The 15,835-nt window shown below is 37.7% G+C and overlaps 1 protein-coding gene across 7 annotated transcripts in view, besides 1 other annotated feature; it reads left to right on the top strand.

Moving 5' to 3' along the window:
- Positions 1-15,835, top strand: part of CLCN5 (chloride voltage-gated channel 5) — a 176,635-nt gene that overhangs the window by 112,177 nt on the left and 48,623 nt on the right. For 3 of the 7 annotated variants that reach the window (NR_199781.1, NM_001127899.4, NM_001127898.4), the window contains exon 4: positions 7,544-7,690. Coding sequence is in view for 5 of the 7 variants with exons in the window: in NM_001127899.4 (NP_001121371.1) it covers positions 7,544-7,690 (147 nt within the window). In the remaining 2 variants the exon portion in view is untranslated. Of the gene's footprint in view, positions 1-7,543; positions 7,770-15,835 lie in introns of those variants that run through there. The other 4 variants (NM_001440757.1, NM_001440756.1, NM_001272102.2 and 1 more) reach the window with 3 other exon arrangements.
- Positions 9,749-10,334: an enhancer, noted in NCBI's record as "OCT4-NANOG hESC enhancer chrX:49809130-49809715 (GRCh37/hg19 assembly coordinates)". NCBI's record gives its function as "activates a minimal SCP1, AML or CMV promoter by ChIP-STARR-seq in naive H9 embryonic stem cells {active_cell/tissue: H9 hESC(naive)}" and the evidence as "EXISTENCE:reporter gene assay evidence [ECO:0000049][PMID:30033119]".

Below are 15,835 nucleotides of genomic sequence, written 5' to 3' on the forward strand. Positions count from 1 at the left end.
CCTTGATCTTAGTACAATTATTGGGAGTGTGTACTCTTCCTTCCCTTTTCCTTCTTTCTCCTCCAACCTAAATCACCTACATTGAAATTGGAAATGGCAAACTGCCTTACCAGCCCTTTCCTCCTCTTCTCTTCCAGACTACTCCTGCCACACTTACCTCCTAAAATGATGTTTTTATCATGTTGCTCCTCAAAAACCTCAGTGACTCCATTGACTTACCAGGTCCTTCATGACCTGTCTCTATCCATTTGTTCATAGACACCTTCCTTGTCTTCTAGCCAAGCACGAATGCCACCTTCATTCTCATCTTCAAGTCTTTGGCCATTTTGTTTCTTGGTCCTGGAATACCCTCTCTCCTCCCTGAAGTCTCTAGCTAGCAATCTCCCATTCCATTTTCTGAATGCCAATTGTAACAATTTAACACCTAGCTGCTGTGTAATTGCATGGTGTGAAGGTTTTCTTCCCAACTAGATCATAAATTCCTTGAGAGTAATGATGAAGTAATAAACTCTTTTTATCTCCCTAATTCCCTTCCCTCATAGGGCAAGGTAAAGATTTATTGAGTGTCAGCCATATAAATATGTTGATTACCTCTTAACCCTTCCTCCCCAACTGGAATACTCCTCAGTAAGCATTTATTGAACACCTACTCTGAGACAACACTGGAGTTGCCAGAACAATGGAAGTGAGAAGGACATGGTGTAGTCACAAGACTCAAGTAGAAGAGATTATGCAGTCAACATAGATATGTGAACAAAGGGAATGTTGAGAGGAAAGCCTATTTGAGCTGGCCCTAGGTATGTTGAATGGGGTTTTACCATACTGAAAAAAGAATGGAGGTGGGGGTGGGTGGGATTCCACATAGGGCAGCTTGCCTGAGCACAGGCATGGAGGCCTGAAAGTACGTGGCCTAGGTAGGGTATAACAAATTTGTGGCAAGAGATAAGTCTGTTGGTGTGGATGGGATCCAGATTTGATAGGGCACTGAATGCCATACAAAGAAGTTTTAAACTTAACTCTCTACGCATGGGGAACCAGCTTATAATTTTAAGCAAGAAAGTGACAAAGGGCATACAAGCTTTGTAACACAAATATCAGCCAAACAACAATTTCCCCTGTTTGCTGTCCTTCTTAGCTCTCAATTGCATGGCAAGTCCTATCTGTAATCCTCTAGTTGGGAAAATAAATCAAATCCCATTACATTTGTTCCTGGCCTACCCCAAATTCTGGCTGACCTCAGGCTTGTGGCCATCTAGAAGTTTAATTTCTTCCAGATGTGCCATTCTCTAGACTGACATGTCGTTGTGAAGCCCCAGTGTGTTATGGAAAGAGCACTGGGCTTGGAGTTCAACTATATATGGATTCAAATCTCAACTCTAAGGAACATTGAATTGGTTTCTCATTACTCTGCAGCTTTAATTTTTTCTCTTGAACATTCTTCTAAAGACTGTATCAAAATGGGCAATATCACTTGCACCATGGGTAAGTACCACTTTCACTTTTACTGATTATATTCATAACATCTGTTTTGCTTGATTTACTTGCTTCTTCCAATTTTCTTTTGTTGACCCTTTCTTTCTATGCATTTACTAAAAGGACGCTTTATAACCCAAACAGTGAACCAGATAGCTGCTGCAGGAAATGTTTGAAATGAGGCAGCTCAATTTAGCTGGATTGTTCTGTCAGTGGGTTACAGGAAGAAGTTCGTAAGGTGCCTAATGAGGAAACTAAAAAGTTTTCCAGCTTCTCCTTTGTTGGGTCTTCATCTTATAGTGTCATTATTTTGTTTTAATGAATTCCCAGAACAATAGGTACACCCATCTGAAACTATGACTACAGGACACATTCCAAAGCCAGAGATAAGTTATTTTTGGACTCCCTGTACCTTTACTTCCCATGATTTGTTTGGCTAATGTAGAGTTGCTGGAACCATGTATTTTAAATCACTTCCTGAGTGAAACATAACCAGCGAGGGGAGAGAGAGGGAAAGGAATTCTGCATTACTTTGCAAATTTTCTTGCTTTTTCTTTCTGTGCTAGTCACCATATGGGACTCATGGACATTTAATAAATTTACACTAAAAGAAAACTTACTGAATTGTGCTACTCTCTTAGCCTCAGTTCTTCTCATCAGCTAAAATGGTTCTTGTTTTTAGCTAAGATTTGTAGAAACCTTGAGTGCCTGCTTGCGAGGTTGAGTGCTTTTTGTAGGTTTGTCAAATGTAAATCTCAGAGTGAGACAAACATTAACCATAAATATTGACTCTGATGCTGCCTACATTTATAAAGGAAAGATGATTTGTCTTGTTTGGATTTTATTATTTGTGTTTAGGTTAATATTATTTTCACTGTTTTTTCCCTTGTCCTGCTATTAAGGTTAAAGTAGCAATAAAAGTGTCTATTGGAGTTCTTGGTAATTCAGGACTGTAGCTTGAGGGAGAAATGAGAGCTAGAAATAGTAAGTTTCCTTAATAAATCAGGTTAAATCTGGGAAATATCTGTTATCTGAGTTACATAGGAGCTAAGATCCAGAGCAAAGTGGAGGGGCTGTTTGTTTTCTTTTTTCTTTGTATTTATTTTGTTTGTTTAAAGAGGACATCTGTGCATGTAGGTGGCCTTGCTTAGGGAGTCAGAGCCCAAGTGATATGAGAAGGGCACCCACTCAGGTGGTTGGCTTGAATACTAGAACTTAAACACATTGAAGATGACATCTGGACTTCCACATGGATATATGGCTTGCTGTGGGTGTCAGAGGCTGAGCAGGGTAAAGAAGGAATCTACATGGAGTAGTAGTTCAGTTGTGTGAGTCAACCTGACAGGTATGAGGAGATCATCTGTGCAGAGAAGAGTTGAGGAAAAGATAGGAGACTGGTTATATACAGGAGGATTGTTCAAGAAAGTAAAAAAATTAAAAGATTTTTCATTGTTAATGAAGGGGAAGGTACATATATAGGAAGAGAAAAGACTAAATTGAGCCTTGTTATGTTGGATTGGAATCAGATATAAGTGAAAACTTATGTTTTTTACATGTGTAAATATTGATATATGTAAAACATACATGTTGTCAATATATATAGGTGGATGTGAAAATATATGTGAAAGTGTGTGTGTGTTCCCTACCTATGTCCATTGGGGAGCAGCAACCCGAATAACAATGAGCACCCAGAACATGTCTTTTAAATACCACCCCCAACTAAAAGGACTCAGAGTTCCTGGAAGAAATGGCTGATATTGGAGATGGAGCATGAAAATACAAGATGAGTCTGGAATGTCTTTTGTGACAGAAATTAAGTTAATTCTCAAAGCATAATGGGGATATGTCAAAAGAACATAGAAGCCAGCTTGAAAAAGTTCCCACTGGAGAAGTTTGGAAAATTTGAGTATGAAAACAATAGCAATAGATTATAACCCATTGAAAAAATTAGGATTTATTTATATATAAATTGAATATAATTTTATTGAATGAAATGAATTCAGTTGATTGAATGAAAATGTTTTTATAAGAAATGGTTTTTTTACTTAGTGTCAAAGTACCTCATCATAAAATAATCACTGTTACAAAGAGACAAATGATATATTAACAATGTAAAGACCTGGAAGATATCACTTTTATCAAGTGATCAAATAAGTATCATCATTAGTGGGGCAAATAAAAAGTATGTGCCCTCTAACAGGATGCAAATAGAAGAACACAATGTCACTTCTCTGATATTATTGTCAAAGATGTATAACCTGAGTCTATTTGTGAGGAAACATCAAACAAACCAAAATTGAGATATTGTCTACAAAATAATTAGCCTGTAATCTTCAAGAGTGTCAAGATCATGAACCTCATAATCCCGGAACAGGATCTGTTCCAAGTAGCAATTACATATGGGTATTCCTTCCAGCACTTTTCAGGAAGTTTATGTTTTTCCAAATTTTGATTCTCCCCAAAAGTCAGTTGAGAAATTTGGAAAGTGGGAGCAAATTAGCAATCAACATAGAAATGTTACTGGTTTGAAGGAATCTGCTGATGTTACATTCAAAGCAAGAACAGAAAACTTTGACGCATAGAGTCAAAGGTTGAGGTCAACATTTCCAGGAAGAGGTCCAGGGGCTTATAAGAGAGAAAGTCATGATTTAATTAGTTAACCTTGATTATAGCTGTTACATGTTGTATGTTTATGTCCATGGTCTTGTCTGCTGCTAACAGTGAGTCATTCTACCAATGAGATCAATAGTAGGCAGGGTGCTGTGGCTTACGCTTGTAATCCCAACACTTTGGGAGGCTGAGGTGGGAGGATTGCTTGAGCCCAGGAGTTCAAGACCAGCCTGGCCAAAATAGTGAGACCCTATCTGTACAAAAAACAAAACAAACAAACAAAAAAACATTAACTGGGCACAGTGACGCACGCCTGTAGTCCCAGCTACTTGGGACGCTGAGGTGGCAGGATTGCTTGAGCCTGGGAGGCCAAGGCTGCAATGAGCAGTAGTGGCACCACCACACTCCAGCCTGGGTGACAGAGCAAGACTCTGTCTCAAAAACAAACAACCAACCAACCCACAAAAGATAAATAGTAATACGTTTATATGCATAGTATACTTTATATAGATCCTGAGTGGTGTTCCAAGAAATAACAAGCCTCAGAAGTGAAATAGGCCCTTATATTGGCAGTTTTGTCATGTGATTCTGTGTGGTGTTGTTTAACCTTGCTTAGGAGATCCAAATGTTTAAATATTACCCAACAATGTTTCCTGATCTTATACATGTTGTGTGTTGCAATGTTCACTGTAAGGTACAGTTATTTGTAAAGCAGACAAAATAGTTTCATCATTAAAAAACAAAATAAACTTCTATGAGCCAGCATGTGCCCGAAAGCTCAAGTAAAGATGCTTTGGATGCACTCTTAATCTGACCAACATCAACACAGAATGAATTTTTTTTTTCTTTTTTTTTGAGATGGAGTCTTGCTCTGTCACCCAGGCTGCAGTGCAGTGGCACAATCTCGGCTCACTGCAACCTCCGCCTCCCGGTTTCAAGCGATTCTCCTGCTTCAGCCTCCTGAGTAGCTGGGATTACAGGCACACACCACCACGCCTGGCTAATTTTTGTATTTTTAGTAGAGGCGAGGTTTCACCATGTTAGTCAAGCTGGTCTCGAACTCCTGACCTCAGGTGATCCACCCACCTCGGCCTCCCAAAGTGCTGGGATTACAGGTGTGATCCACCATGCCCGGCTGATTTTCTTTTTTCTTAAATAAAAAGTAAAGGCACTTCTTCCTGAATGACAGGAGGGAAGACAGACAGAGTCAATTTCTCGTCTGTTGTTGGTAATAGGAAAAACCTGCTAACAATCCTGTATTAGGCCTGGTTCCCTAGAAGCAGAAGCAGAGACAGGATTTTGTGTGAGTCCTTTACTGAGGGAGTCCTCTCCGGAGAAAGGGATTGAAGAAAGCAGGATAATGAATGGCAGAAAAGTCCAGCAAGGTTGGATTGGTGAGCAGCAAGGGAGCTTGGCTGAGGCTATAAAACATGGCTTCTTAGTATCCCAGCACCCATTTGATCCACACATCAAGGTTAACTTTTGTAGCTGAGGAAGTTGTTTTATGGTCAATAATTTTGTACGTTATTAGTACCTTGGGGTAACTTTGTATCCTTCCCTACCTGACCATATATCATCATGTATGCATGGTAGTGTTCCAGAATAACCTATTATTTAGTTCACATTTGCACAGATTTCAAGTTACTTGTGCATGCTAAAGAACATTGAGATTGCATTTCTTTTTAAATTTTATTTTAAATTGACATATAATTGTACATATTTATGCGGTACAGTGTGATGTTTCAATACATGTATACTTTGTGTAATGATCAAATCAAAGTAATTAGCATATCCATTACCTCAAACATTTATATAGGAAATTTCCCTTGGGGTATCTGTTCTCTTAGTTTCAATCATCACCTTGATGTTGTTAACTCCCAAGTCTTTGCCAATCAATCTTCATCTCATCTGGCCTATCCAGCATCATTTTTGTATCTGGCCCACTATGCCACAATGATTCATGCATAGTAGGTGTTCATAAATGTCACTCACACTTCGGTCAAGCTGGTCTCTTTATCACAAATGAGGTATTGTGAAATTGAACACATGATTTGGACCTTAACTTTAAAAACAACAACAACAACAACACTAACTGGGCAAGTTAGCCTTTTGCAGCTTTCAGTTTCCTTATCTACACTAGGAGTGATAATGCCATAGCATAGGAATGTAGGAAAAATTAAAGGAAATAATTCATTTTAAGCACATAGCCCAGTGCCTAGAAATTGACATGTACCTGGTAAATGTTGGTTCTTTCTCCTTTTTGCTGAATATTTAAGGCCTGCTTTTTAGGCCTCTTACTTGATTTATCCTATTTGTTTTTTACCACATTCATCACTCTTAGTTCTGACAACCTAGGAAAAGAAGTTTCTTTAAAGAGTTGGAAAGTTTAAAACAAATAATATTTGTGTAATTCAGTAGAACTTTTCTGGGTATGATTTTTGACTAAGATTTTCTTTAAGAAATAGGGAGGGTGGGCCTACATAAAGTTGGCCATAATGCTTTTAAAAACTAAATAAATCAGTATACTAATATTTTTTAAGTAAAATTTACAATCTGAAAAATTACACTTGGGATGAAGAACATTTTTCATCTTTAATATTAAATTCTTAAGAACAGCATTGAATGGCACACTATGTTTCTTTTCCCCATGTCAGTCATCTAGTATTTCTGTGCATATACACTGTATTAAGACGTCTGGGAGAGTCAGAAGAATAAGATAATTTTTTTTCCCCATTCTCAAATGGCCAGCACATTTCTCAATACTGATGTCTAGTTTTTATTTCAGTTGATTACTTGTGAACTACTGTTATGTTTGTACACATGCCCTCATTTGGTTTTATACTCATTTGAATGGTTCTCAAATATTGCCATCAACTACATGGTAATGCTAGAGGTACATTATATCTAGAGGGTAACTGAATATATTTAGTTTGCATGAATATATTCATGCAAGAGCATGAAAGAAGACATAAGACTAAGTGCCAACCCAAAAGGTGAAGATTACCCAGATGTCCATCAGCTGATGAATAGATAAACAAAATGTGGTCTATCCATACAGTGAAATAATATTCAGCCATAAAAATTGATGAAGTGCTGATACATGCTGTAACATGGATGGATGTTGAAAATATTACGCTAAGTGAAAGAAACCAGACACAAAGTGTCACATATTGTGTGATTTCATTTATATGAAATATCCAGAATCAGCAAATCTATAGAGACAAAAAGTATAATAGAGGTTACCAGGGCCTGGGGGATGGGGAGTTACTGTTTGTTGGGTACAGAATTTCTGTTTGGGATGATGAAATAGTTCTGGAAATGGATAGTCGTGATAGTTGCACATAGTAAGTGTACTCAATGCTACTGAATTGTATACTTCAAAATGGTTCAAATGGCAAATGTTACGTGTAAGGGACTTGAAGATCATTGTTATAAGCCTCCTATTTTTCTTTCTGCACAGGTGCCATGGATAACAGAGGCTTTCAGCAGGGGAGTTTTAGTAGCTTCCAGAACAGCTCCAGTGATGAAGACCTGATGGACATTCCAGCAACCGCTATGGATTTCTCCATGAGAGATGATGTTCCTCCCTTAGACCGAGAAGTAGGAGGTATCATTATTGGTGATGATAATTTATCTTAATTTTTTAAAATTTATGTACAATAAAATTTTATTTTTTTTTAATTTTATTTTCTAGCACACAGTCCTGTGAGTTTTTAACAAATGGCTAGATTATTGTAACTACCACCACTGACAGGATACAGAACAGTTCAACTCCCTAAAGAATTCCCTCTTGCCACTCCTTTGCAGTCAGACCTCCTTCCTCCCTAACCCCTGGTACCAGTGATCTTTTCTCTGTCCTTATAGTTTCTTTTCTTTTCAATGATGTCATGTACATGGAATCACATAGTATGTCACTCCTTGAGACTGCTTTCACTCAGATTAATGCCTTGGAGATATATCTAAGTTGTTCATTTCTTCTTCTTGCTGAGTAGTATACCCAGGAGTAGGATCACTTAGTCATATGGTAAATGTGTTTAACTTTATAAGAAACTGACAAACCAGAGTGCCGGTACCATTTTGCATCTGAACTAGCTATGTATGAGAGTTCTACTTGCTCTGCACCCTTAACAGCACTTGGTATTTTGGCCATCCTAGTATAATACGTATGTAGTGTTATCTCATCATTGTCTCAATTTAATTTCCTTAATGGCTAATGACGTTGAATAGCATTTCATGTGCATATCTGCCCACCTTATATACTGTTTGATGAAGTATATGTTGAAATCGTTTCCTCTTTCTATAATTGGATTTTTTATTAACTGGAATGCATTCGTAAAATTAAAATCCCCCTCCTTGGTTATCTGGTTACCTAGCTGCATATTCTTTTCAATGGCTGCATACAATTTCATGGTATGTTTGTGCCATGGCTTATTTAACCAAGCTTCTATTGATGCACATTTCAGTTTTTCTGATCTTTTGCTGTTACAAACAATGCTGCAACAAACAACCTTGCATCTATGTCTTCTAGGCATATGAGAGTATTTTTGTCGCATAAGTGTATGAGAATGCCTATTTCCCCACAATCTTAGCAGTGCTGACATTACCATTCTTTTTTCATCTTTACAATATGATAGGATAAATAAATCTCATTTTAATTTTCATTTATTTAATTAATGAGGTTGAGCATATTTTTATATGTTTACAAACCGTTTCAGTTTCTTTCTCTGAAAGTTTCCTGTTCATGTGATGTTCCTATTTTTCTAATAGGCTGATTATTTGTTTTTATTTCTTTACCAGAGCCCTTCATATACTATTATTACTCTTTTGTCTGATGTAGGTTAAATGTATTTTATCCACTTCTAGTTTGTCTCTTTTAACTTTTTTTTAAATTTACAGATATTTAAAATGTTTATATAGCCATGTATATTGCCCCTTTCCTTTATGACTTCTGAATTCCTTATTGTACTTAGAAAGGACAGTATCACTTTAAGATTACATTTGTATAATTACTTTAAAACTCTGTCTGGTTCTTTAACTGGGATTGCCATTGTAAAAGTAGACAGAGGACAAGGAACTGCTGTCAAATTCATTATGCAGCAAATTCATATTAAGTACATAAGACATTGTAGACACTTTGCTGAGCTCTGGGAATTAGCAAGGCTTGAAGATACCATCCCTGCCTTCATGAAGTTGATTATAGCTAGCTAAATAGCCACATAAATACTTATGATAGTTCCTACCCCTTAGAGTTATTTTCAGGATTAAATGAGATAATACATATATAGTGCTTATAACTATACCTGGCATACAGTTAAGTGCTCAATAACATGTTCAGTATCATTATTTTATTATTATTATTGCTACAACCCTGTATTATAAGTTCTATAGCTTTTATAGGAATTTAGCAGAATAAGCATTTCATGTGTGGGTGTGTTTCTGCGAAGGACTGGAGATTTCATAGAAAAGATGTTTTGGAGCGAGGTCTTGAAAGATTAGTTATTTGGTAGGAAGAACACTTCAGGCAGAAAGTATGCTTTTACAGAGATATCAACAGGCAGAATATATGGAGATATAAAAAGGCAGAATGTAAGTCCAGATAGTTGGTGTTATGTGCATCCGTATAAGAGATCACCTGAGCAGGCTTAGTGTGAGCAGCAAGGCTGTTTATTCACTTGGGTGCAAGTGGGCTGAGTCCGAGAAAGGAGTCAGTGAAGGGTGGTGGGATTATCATTGGTTCTTATAGGTTTGGGATAGGCGGTGGAGTCAGGAGCAATTTTTTGCGGGCAGGGGATGGATGTTACAAAGTACATTCTCAAGAGCAGGGAGGATGTTACAAAGTACATTCACAAGGATGGGGAATATCACAAAGTACATTATCACAAGGGCAGGGGAATGTCACAATGGCTTGACCATTGTGCGGCCACCTCAAAGGATCTTACAGTCGGGCCTTGAATGTCATGCTAATAAGTTTTAATTAACCTTATTGTCACTGTAAGGATGAAACTCCTTCATCAATTCATTCAACAAATAGTTTTAGAGCACCTGCTGTGAACCAGGCTCTATTGTAGGCACTGGGGATACAGTGGTGGGATTAAGACAAATATTGACCTAGAACTTAGAGCTAGCTGGGGAGGGCAGTAAACGAGTAAAAAGATTACTTAGTTAATTACCCATCATGATAAGTACTAGGATGGAAATAAACTGAATGACAATAGATTATAACTGGGGAATAATACTTTAGTTAGGAAGGTCAGGGAAGGTTTCTCTGAGGAGGTGACTAATTTGGGGTGAACATACCAGTATAAAAGCCACAGGTTAAAAAGAATAACAAGGAATTTGCCTTGGGAAGATATGTCAGGAAAGGGACAGTAGGAGAGGGCCCCTGAATTTAAAGTTCATAAAGGAAGGGTACTCATGGTATAGTAGTTAGTGGTCATCTGCCTACTTCTACCAAAGAGAACTGTGTTAGCATATTGCTTCTGCTTATGTGTAGTTATAACCATACTGAGTCAGTTACACCAATCACTGACTTTAGTGAAGTGGTCAGTTAGGGGGATTCATAAGCTTACATTGGCTACCTCTACTTAAAGTCTTCTGGTTAAACCAGAGTGGTTAATCATTGTTACTTCTAATAGAAAATGGTATCCATCATCTATAACTGCAAAGTACTTTGTGTGTTCATGTTGCTCTCAGTAGATGATTGGGGCAAGTGACTATGTATTATTCTCATTTCATAGACTAGAAAACTGAAGCAGAATGAGATTTTGACATTACCTATGATTGTAGAATGTGTTTTCACATGAATAGTCCTTCATCACTTTTCATTAGCCTTTACAGGAGAACTACTGCTTCTAGTTTACAAGGTCTAACCATAAAATAATGAGGCTGCTTTTCATGAGACAAACACGAAAATCAGCCCACTTATAGCCCACTCTGTAGTGATATAACTTTCTTGCTTTGCTTTCTAATTGCTCTTACTTTATTTAATGTTTTCACATGGGATTTCCTAATAAAGACAACGACAACAAAAAGGTCACAATGTCCTTGATATTCAGAGGTGAAACTGCATAAAATACTACATTTTGTACCAGGCACAATAGCACGTACTAAAAAGATTAGTGAGAAGGGGCTTGAAAGGCAATAAAAGTGGTTCTTGTTTTCCAGATGGCTAGAGGGCTTGATTTATGAGGAATGAATAAATAAATTATGCATGGCATGGTTAAATGCATCTGAGGTAGTGTTATAGTAGTTTGTAAATTAGAAGAAACATAAACATAGAGATGTGAAAGAAGGTGGAGGGAATAGAAAAAGAGTTTGAGTAACAGAAAAACACGGAGGACTGTTCTCATAGTCCATCTGTTCTCACTTGCCTGCCTCTGCAGCCTGCACCTTATGGTCAGCAGTGCATTCATTCATTCATTCATTCACTTACTCATTTGATACTTATGGAACACCCAGATATGAGCCTAGCACTGTGCTGTTTTAGTAATGCTCTTCGATTCCCCTTTTTTCCTCACCTCCCTGTCTTTCTACCTAGTGTGCCTTGCTACTCCCTAACTGTTGAATGAAGAGACATTCCTGGCAGGGAGAGCAACACAGATAAAGGTCCAGCAGCATGAGAGAGCCTTTTATATTCAAGAAACAGAGTCTGTGGGTTTGAGGTCTGAGGCCCCCTGGGGTGGGAAGGGTGGTGGCAGTTGGAGCAAGAAGGAAGACTGCAGGGGCTAGGGTAGGAGGAGATCTAGTTAGAAATCTAGGTGGGGTCCAGATTGTGTACACTTTTCGACCTCATTTGTAACCAAAGCACCATCAAATGAACTAAAAGCAGAGGAATGATATGATCACATTTGAGTTTTAGAGAATTTTTGGCAGTGTGGAGGGTGGCTTGAGTAGTGTAGGTTGGAGACGAGAAGACCAGTGAGTGAAACTTGTTTTTTTGTAATCTAGGCAAAAGATCAAAAGGCCTGAATGAAGACAGCAGGAATGTAGAGGAAGAAATAAGTTCTGGACAAATTTCAGAGGGGGAACTGATAGGACCAATTAGATATGGGAAATAAAATAGAAAAGAGTCAGGGATGACTTCAAAGCCTAAGCATATTATTGGGTAGGCTGTGTTCCCCCATACTGCCTGCTGAGTTTCAACATAACCTACCAAAATCCAGGAGAAGAAAAAAAATCTTAATACTCAAATGTGATAGAATAAAAAACCTGAGGGTACTTGAAATTTGCCAAGTAAATTGCAAAACATTTCTATTTGTTTTGCCACACTGTAAAAATATGTCATAGTTTTTCTCCAGAGAGAAACTGAAAACAAAGTAAAATATCTTGGGTTCCAGCTCATGGAGAAATCTACTATTATCACTTCAGTTAGGCTTCCCTCAAGCTATCTGACTAGAGCAACTGTGTGGATTGTGTGGGAACGAAAAGAAAAGGTATTTTGAAATTAATCATTCTTATAACACTTGAACGTCCCTAAACACTTAGCCTGGAAGAATGGCAAACATTACTGTTGCCTTTTGAACTTAAAAAAAAAGTGGCCCATATGGAAAGCTCTGCAGGGCTATAAACCACATCAATGTAATATGCTGGATCTTTAAAATGAAACCTATGATGATGTCCACAGGCTTTAAAGGGTTCATTTAGGTTACTTAATTAGGAAAACGGCCAAATTTTAGAATTGATGTCCTCTAATTTTTCCCCCACTTACTTTTTTTTTAATTAGCTAAAGTACATAATTTCTTCAGATTTACTTAGTTTTTACCTAAGTGTCTCATCCAGGATACTATATTACATATTCTTCATGTCTCTAAGGAGCTAAGGGCTCCTCTTGGCTGTGACAGTTTCTCAGACTTTCCTTGTTTTTGATGACCTTAACAGTTTTGAAGAGTACTGGTCAGGTATTTTGTAGAATGTCTCTCAATTGGGATTTGTCTGATGTTTTTCTCAAGATTACAATGGAATTTTGGAGATGAAGACCGCAGAGGTGGAGTGTCTTTCTCATTATGTCTTATTAAGGAGCACATACTATCAATATGACTTATCACTGTTGATGTTGACCTTGATCACCTGGCTGAGGTGTAATGTTTGCCAGGTTTATCCACTGTAAAACTATTTTTTCTTCTTTCCATACTGTACTCTTCGGAAGGAAGTCACTGCGTAGAACAGCGGTCCACAACATTTTTGGCACCAGGGACAGGGACCAGTTTCATGGAAGACAATTTCATCTTCAACGAAACCGGCGGTGGGGGGTGAGGATGGTTTTGAGATGAAACTGTTCCACCTCAGATCATCAGGCATTAGTTAGATTCTCATAAGGAGTGCACAACCTACATCCCTCGCATGCGCAGTTCACAAATAAGGTTCGTGCTCCTCTGAGAATCTAATGCCGCCACTGATCTGACAGGAGGTGGAGCTCAGGCTGTAATGCTTGCTCGCCCTCTGCTCACCTCCTGCTACGCGGACTGGTTCCTAACAGGCCACAGACTGGTATCAGTCCATGGCCCCGTGGATGGGGACCCCCTGGTTTAGCTCACACGTAGGACTAGGAAGTTAGGTTTCACCTCCATGAGGGTGAAATATCTACAGAAATTATTTGGAATTGTTTTACATGGGAGATTTGTCTTTTTCTTTCCCATTTATTTATCTATTAAATCATTTATATCAGTATGGACTCATTTATTTTGTGCTTTGAGTTATAATCCATTACTACATTTTGTTGGTCAAATTGTTCCAGCTTTGGCTACTGGGAACTCTTTCAATTGACTCCATTTCCCTTTGACAAACTCCTATCATTGTGGGGTCTTTTTTGAGCATATCCTTATTTTTTGGCACTACAACATGCTCTAGGCTCATATTATATATTTCCTGCCCCAGTGCTAGAATCAGCCATTTCTCCAAGGAACCCTGGTTCCTTTTATTGGAAAATGGTATTAGAAGCCATGATATGGATACATGGATACTAGGTATGCTCCTTTCTACTGAGGCATTTGTTGCTTCTAGGCCCTGTTAGCCAATGCAGTAAGGAAATATGTGTATTCTGACCCATACATATATACACACATATACATATATCTATGAATATATGTATATGTAACCACCTGTATCTACGGTAAGCTAAACATGAGATCATACTCATGTCTCTAATTCTAATCTATTACCACATGGATCACTCTAGCCTCCTCCCTTTGCTTGTCTATAACCTCCTACTCCAACAGTGAGAAACCTGGTTCCTACCACTCACAATCTGTTACTTAACTGTTTACTTCTGGTATGTAGTCATATGCTACATAATGACATTTTGGTCAACTACAGACTGCATATATGATACCACGTTTTAATAGTTTGTGGTATAAATAGTACCAAATTTTTACTGTACTTTTCTATGTTTAGACACATACTTACCATTATGTTACAGTTGACTACAGTATTCAGTAGAATAACATGCTGTACAGGTTTGTAGCCTAAGAGCAATAGGCTATACCATACAGTCTAGGTGTGTAGTAGGCTAGACCATCTAGGTTTATGTAAGTACACTCTATGATGTTTGCACGATGATGAAATTACCTAACAACACATTTCTCAGAATGTATCCCCATCATTAAGTAATGCATGACTGTACATGTATAGTGGTTTCAGAATTGTTAACCCATACCCTCCATAAGAGACAACTTTATCAAGAGTGCAGCATCATTCCTTTTGCTTTAATCTTACAAATTTTATTCATTTTCACAGTTACCTGGGTCAGCACTTTTCACCTTTATCCCTTTCATTGAGGCTGTTTTATAAATTTGTGATGCAGTTAGATTCTTTTTTCACATGCTGCATTCTATCCTGGGATCTTCAGTCTCCTAAATGATTTTTTTAATTTGCATACATTATGTTCATTCTTTGTGCTGTGAAGTTCTATAAGTTTTGACAAATATATAGTGTATCCACTATTACAGTATCATGTAGAATAGTTTCACTGCCTTAACAAGTCCCCTGTGCATTACCTATTCAATCCCTTCTTCTCTTGAGTCCATGGCAACCACTGACCTGTTTATTGTCTCCATAAATTTGCCTTTACCATAATATCATGTAAAAGGAATCATACAGAATATAACCTTTTTAGATTAGCTTCTTTCACTTACCAATATGCATTTAAGATTCATCCATGTCTTTGTGTGGATTTATTGCTCATTCCTTCTTATTGCTGAATAGTATTCCATTGTCTGTATATACTACTGTTTGTTTATCCATTCATCTACTGAAGGACATCTTGGTTGCTTACTGTTGGGGGCAATTATGAATGAAGTTGCTACAAACACCTGTGTGCAGGTTTTTATGTGGATATAAATTTTCAAATCAAGTAAGTAAGTATTTAGGGGTGCGATTGTTGGATCATATGGTAACACTATGTTTTGTTTTGTTTTGTTTCATAAAAAAAAGTGCCACCAAACTGTCTGCCAAAGTGCCAAAGTGGCTATACCATTTTGCATTCCTACCAGCTATGAATGAGAGTTCCTGTTAGTTTGCATCCTTGGTATTGTCAGTGTTTTGGATTTTAGCCATTCTAATAGGTATGTAGTGGTATCTCATTGTTTTAATTTGCATTTCTCTAATGACAAATGATGTTGAACATCTTTTCACGTGCTATTTGCCATATGTACATCTTTCTTTGGTGAGGTTCAGGTTTTTTGCCCATTTTTAAATTGGGATTTTTTTTATTGTTGAGTTTTAGTTCTTTGTATTTTGGATACCAGTCCTTTATCAG

The sequence above is a fragment of the Homo sapiens genome, chromosome X, assembly GCF_000001405.40.
Source record: "Homo sapiens chromosome X, GRCh38.p14 Primary Assembly".
NCBI lineage: Eukaryota > Metazoa > Chordata > Mammalia > Primates > Hominidae > Homo > Homo sapiens.